Source organism: Homo sapiens, chromosome 11 (genome assembly GCF_000001405.40).
Source record: "Homo sapiens chromosome 11, GRCh38.p14 Primary Assembly".
Taxonomy (NCBI): domain Eukaryota; kingdom Metazoa; phylum Chordata; class Mammalia; order Primates; family Hominidae; genus Homo; species Homo sapiens.
Window position 1 is genome coordinate 5,612,966 of NC_000011.10, and position 6,518 is coordinate 5,619,483.

A 6,518-nucleotide genomic window follows, 5' to 3' on the forward strand; every position below is an offset into this window, starting at 1 on the left:
ACTTTTTTAATGTGGATACTAGAAACCTTAAAATTACATATGTGGCTTACATTGTATTTCTATTGGACAACTCTGGAGTAGATCCTATAATGAAATTTCTGTCCCTAAGTGAGCCCTAGTGTAAAAGCCTATGGACTCAGGATACAGAGGAGGTTTCAAGGCACATATGTTTATCTCTACAGAACCTGCACCTTCCCAGCTGCCCTGAGGCATTTTTATGGAAGGTAATGACAGAGAAAAGAAGATCTCAACATATCTAGAAGTGTAGAAATTTGGAAGATCATAGAAAGGGCTCATGACCAGAGAATGATTCTGCAGACTCTGGCCCCTGCCGTTAGTCCTCAGTCTGTTGGGCACTTGAAGCTCCTTCATGGTTTGATGAAACACTGATTTGTTATCAAGGCTCAGCTTGGGTGTCTATGGTGAGATAAAGTAGTGCAGATTATAGTAAAAGCTCACTACTGGTTTGTTCTAAGGCACCGTTTTATAATATTTGGGAGATCATATCTGTGGAAGCCCAGAGGCTGGATGCAAACTCCTTATCCTGGTCTGCGTTTCAATTGGAAGAGATATAAAAGGAGATAGGGCCAGCTGACTGGGACCTATGGGGCTGGTGGAAGTTCAGGAAAGAGAAAGATCTGCTGGAGTAGTTATCCCCTTCCCACTTATTTTCCCATATAATAAGTAAGTTCTAGGCAAAAGAGTTAGCCCAGCTCTCTTCTGTAAACTCATTTTACAAGTAAATTTACTTTCCAAGTGAATTTACTTTATAAGTAATTTTTCTTTTTTGTCACCAGAGTTCTAGGGATGTGGTATAGTTATCCTAATATTTCCCAAAATGTGAGTGCTTGCTAGAGCCGATATTTAAGTTTGATGCTAACTTAAAAAGAAGATTTTGGAAGGGAGAGGGACTTTCTTAACAGCTTTATTGTGATATTTACTTCTTTATAAGTAAATTCACTTGGAGAACCCAAAGTATTGTCCAGTGAATGACTTTAGATAATAGTGAAAGCCAAACTAAGTACTTGCTGGAATTCTATAGGTAAGACCTGGGGAAGGTTGCTCAATCTGAGACTTGGGGACAATTATTAGGGTAAGTTCACAGCTCTGACCTTTTCTTGAGGGGTTATGGGGGCTTGACAGAGGCCTTCTGTTCTTGACATGTGATAGAGTAGGCTCAACTACTATGAAAAAGAACTCTAAAAATACATAATGGATCAAATACTAAAGAAATGTACTTCTTGTTAATGTAAAACAATCGGTCATGAGTGTATGTAACTGGTGGTGAGTGGCACTGTTCCATGTGGGATTCATGCACCAAGCTTGCTTTCATCTTGTGGCACTTGCTGTACCCCAGAATGGTAACAGCATGAAGCTGGCAGAAAGGTGAAGAAAACTTAGGGGAGAAAACGTGCTTTTTAAATCCTTAGTTCATAGATGGGATTCGTAATATCTGCTCATTTTCTATTAATGAGAATAGCCATAGGGCTAAACCTAACTGTAAAGATTTTTTAAATGTCTAGCTGTATGCAATCATGTACAATCAAATTTCAAGGAAAAGAAAACTCAGATTTTGGTGGAAACTGCCTGGAACCCTAAGTAATCCTTTTTCCCATTATAGAGGACTCAGGATCTCAGCTTTTTTCTGGAACTATGTTAATTCCATTCTATAGCCTAAAGTTTGTAAAAGAGAACTGTATTGTCACTAAAGTTCTAGACATGTGGTATAGTTATCCTAATATTTCCCAACAAGCGAGTGCTTGTTAGAGCTGGCATGTAAGTTTGATTCTAACTTAAAAATAATCTTTTTAGGGGAAGAGGACTGTCTTAACATTATTATTGTAATATAACTGACATATAATACATTTCATAAAGTATATAACTTGATACATTTTGACTTGTGAAACTCATCACCATCAAGGCAATAAATCAGATGGGGTTCTTTTTTGTATATATAGCACTTAGAGCTATACATTTCCTTCTGTGGCTTTAAATGCATCTCACAAATTTTGATATATTCTCCATTCTATTCAAGATTCTATTTTCCCTTTTGATTTCTTCTTTGACCATTGAATTATTTAAAATTATATTTTTTCCCAAATCTATGAGGATGTTCATATATCTTTTTGTTATTGGTTTATAATTTAATTTTAAATGGTCCAGATACAGACTTTATATGACTTGAATCCTTTTTAATTGTATTGAGACTTGTTTTACGGTAAAGGATATGATCTATATTGGTAAATGTTTCATTTGCACTTGAAAGAAATGTGTATTCTGTGGTCCTGGGGTACAGTGTTCAATTAACATCATGTTAGTTGATATTATTCAAATCTTCTGTATCTTTACTGCTTTTCTATGAGAGAGGGGTGTTGAAATATACAACTATATTTGTGGATTTGCCTATTTCTCCTGCAATTCTATGAGATTTTGCTTTCTGATTTTTGAAGCTCTTTTGTAAGGAGCATACACATTTAGGAATGTTACATCCTGTTGATGAACTGACACCCCTTTCTCATTATGGAATGACCCTCTATCTCTACTAATATCTTTTTCTCCAAATTCTACTTTGTTAGGTATTAATTTAGCCACTCCAGCTTTCTTGTTTTTTGTTTTTTTTTTGTTGTTGTTGTTGTTTGTTTGTTTGAGATGGAGTCTCGTTCTGTCATCCAGGCTGGAGTGCAGTGGCGTGATCTTGGCTAACTGCAACCTCTGCCTCCTGGGTTTAAGTGATTCTCCTGCCTCAGCCTCCCGAGTAGCTGGGATTACAGGCACCTGCCACCACGTCCGGCTAATATTGTATTTTTAGTAGAGACGGGGTTTCACCATGTTGGTCATATTGGTCTCGAACTCCTGACCTCAGGTGATCCACCCGCCTCGGCCTCCCAAAGTGCTGGAATTACCGGCGTGAGCCACCGTGCCCAGCCCAGCTTTCTTTTGATTATTGTTTTCATAACATATCTTTTCATTTTTTTTTTTTTTTTTGAGACGGAGTCTCGCTCTGTCTCCCAGGCTGGAGTGACATGGCGCAGTTGAGTGACGTGGCGCGATCTCGGCTCACTGCAAGCTCCGCCTCCCGGGTTCACGCCATTCTCCTGCCTCAGCCTCCCGAGTAGCTGGGACTACAGGCGCCCACCACCACGCCCGGCTAATTTTTTTGTATTTTTAGTAGAGGCGGGGTTTCACCGTGTTGGCCAGGATGGTCTCGATCTCCTGACTTCGTGATCCACCCGCCTCGGCCTCCCAAAGTGCTGGGATTACAGGCGTGAGCCACCGCGCCCGGCCTCATCTTTTTACTTTTAAACTATTTGTGTCTTCGTACTCCAGCCTGGGCAACAAGAGCGAAACACTGTCTCAAAAAAAAGAAAAGTATTTAAGTGGCATGTAGTTGCTCTAGGTAAATAATATAGTTATCTTCATTTTTCCCAACAAGTTACTGCTTGAGTTGGCATTTTAACTTAGTTTTAATTAAAATTTAAATATTTTGCTACTTTATATTTTGTCAGAAATGATCTTGATTCCATGGGACTCTCAGTTTTTTAAACATTTGCTGTATAACTGCTTTGTGCATACAGTCTAGCCCTTGCCTTCACAGAGACTCAGTCAGTTAGGGGATAAAACAAAGGCATATTCTGTGCAAGGTTTATTTCAACCATCTTTTAGAAGATAAATTTGGGGTTTTAGGGTTCCAAGATTTGAAACATTACATTTGATTGGTGAAGGGCTAGTTCTCAGGTTCTCATGGGGTTGATGTTTGAGGCCGAGAATAACCTTTTTTTTTTTTTTTCCTTGAGATGGAGTCTCCCTCCTGTTGCCCATGCTGGAGTGCAGTGGCACGATCTCGGCTCACTGCAACCTCTGCCTCCTGGGTTCAAGCGATTCTCCTGCCTCAGCCTCCCAAGTACCTGGGATGAAAGGTGCCTGCCACCTTCGGCTAATTTTTGTATTTTTAGTAGAGACAGTGTTTCACCATGTTGGCCAGGCTGATCTCAAACTCTCAGCCTCAGGTGATCCACCTGCCTCGGCCTCTCAAAGTGCTGGGATTACAGGCATAAGCCACCACGCCCAGCTTTTTTTTTTTTTTTTTAAATAAATGCAAGCTTAGGTACAGGCTCTTGTCAAATAAGGAATCAACAAAGAAATAAAATATTGATTCATTTTTATCCATCTTGAAAACATACTAGTATTTGAAGGGCAAATAATTAAAATATGAAAAACAATTAGGGAAATGGAGTCTATTTTGGAATCTTTGAAAAAGCAGAGGAGAAATGTTAGGAGAGAAATCAAGATAGAACTGCAAGTTTAAGGCATTATTGCCTATCTCAGCTAAGCATTGGCCTTTATTTCAAGAGATCGAAGGAAACCCTCACATTTTTGAACTGAAAGTCAACACATACATTTGAATCACACACATTTCCACCTGACCACTGAGGGTACTTGTATGAAGACAGCAACTGAGTTTTCTATATCGCTTCCTCTGTGTCAATCACGTTTCTATACATTATATATATGGACTCAATCTTTTTTTTTTTTTTTTTTTCAGGCAGAGTTTTGCTCTTGTTGCCCAGGCTGGAGTGCAATGGCACGATCTCGGCTCACTGCAACCTTCGCCTCCCAGGTTCAAGCGATTCACCAGCCTCGGCCTCCCGAGTAGCTGGGATTACAGGCATCAACCACCACGCCTGTCTAATTTTTGTGTTTTTTAGTAGAGACGGGGTTTCGCCATGTTAGCCAGGCTGGTCTCAAACTCCTGACCTCAGGTGATCCACCTGCCTCAGCCTCCCAAAGTGCTGGAATTACAGGCTTGGGCCACCGCGCATGGCCTGGGCTCAATCTTTATAGTGGTCCTATGAAAATAGGTACTGTCATTATCCTTTTTTTAAAAAAAATGAGAAAATGGAGGTACAGTGAGATGAAAGAATTTGCTCAAAGTTGGACACATATGAAGTGGCAGAATTGACCTACAAAACAGGGCAGCAAAATTCAGAGGCAACATTTTTATTCATTTCTGTCTGTTAGAAATCTGAAAAGGTCAGTGTGTGAGTCAAATCCTACTTTGATACCTATTTTTGTAAATGTACTTTATTGGAATATCACCATGCTTATTTATGTATCATCTGTGACTGCTTTCAAGTTACAACAGCAGTGTTGACTGGTTGCAACAGAGACTGCTTGACCTGCAAATCCTAAAATATTTACTGTTTGACCAGCCTGACCAACATGGTGAAACCCCATCTCTACTAAAAATACAAAAATTAGCCGGGCATGGTGGCCCGCGCCTGTAATTCCAGCTACTTGGGAGGCTGAGGCAGGGGAATCGCTTGAACCCAGGAGGCAAAGGTTGCAGTGAGCCGAGATCACACCACTGCACTCCAGCCTGGGCAACAGAGTGAGACTCCATCTCAAAAACAAACAAACAAACAAACAAATAGTCAAAGTAATGTATAATGCTCAAAATGTAATCTTAGGCCTAATGAAGGAATAGACTCCTATATTACTCATAAATGATATAAGTAATATTAAACTTGGGGTCTAGCTTACGTGACCAAGATAATGATGAAAACTTTAAGTTGAAAGCTTATGTTGAAAAACAAAATAAAATCATTTCATATGCAAATTTTAACACCACAGTCAGGAATGTCAATGGATATACAGGGTAAAAGAAGAGAGAAAATTAACCTAGATGATAAACTGTATACATTGCATATTGATTAATCTACTATAAAACAATGGCACAAGTACATGATTGTTTTGATTCTTGAACCTTGATTGATTATAGATAGCATCAAATGTAGTATACTCTGGGGGAGAAAAGATTGGACTATGAGAGGAAATTCTATTTTAAGCTTTGTACAATTATAAGACATAAGGAGGACACAAATCTCATTAAGGGCAGATTTGGGAGAGAAACAGTGACAAAGCTAAAACCGTGACTTATTTGGGAAACATCAGTGTAGCATGATAAGGACAAGCCATTTTATATCACTCACATGAGCAGGCTTCATGTCATTGGGTAAAAATTCACAGTAATCCTGGAGAAAATGAAGAATGTGTGAATCAATGTATTGTGTGCAAACGGTGATATGAGGGTAGCCTGAGTCATATGAACTCCCTGGGAAAAACGACCAGCTTTGTGTATGTAGCAAGTGGACTTGGTACTCCTATTACCTAAAAAGAGCCTCTGCAAGTACTTATTGACAAAAGTTGACATCTACTCTGCATATGGAATAGCTGTCCCTGCCTCTCAGGCATTTTGTACCATAAAGGCCAACAGATTGCCATTATCAATATTTTGATGTCCTCAAAACAGTTTCAGTGGTAACCACATGATCGTACAAGAATACGCCTCCTTCATTCTGTTGCCAGAGAAGTACAGGAATCTTCAGTTCTTTGTCTTATTTGGAGAAAGCATTCTGCTTTCCAGTCTTTTCCAGTGGAGAGTAGGCCTTTGTTATGGGGGATGCTCTGAACATATTTCAGAATGGTTCTTTTACTCTCTCTCTGCCAGAAAAGAAAGG

The 6,518-nt window shown here is 39.5% G+C and overlaps 2 protein-coding genes across 5 annotated transcripts in view; one reads left to right on the forward strand and one right to left on the reverse strand.

The window, feature by feature from the left end:
- TRIM5 (tripartite motif containing 5) overlaps nt 1-6,518 on the reverse strand; it is a 96,440-nt gene that overhangs the window by 24,331 nt on the left and 65,591 nt on the right. The window lies entirely within an intron of this gene.
- TRIM6-TRIM34 (TRIM6-TRIM34 readthrough) overlaps nt 1-6,518 on the forward strand; it is a 47,762-nt gene that overhangs the window by 16,329 nt on the left and 24,915 nt on the right. The window lies entirely within an intron of this gene.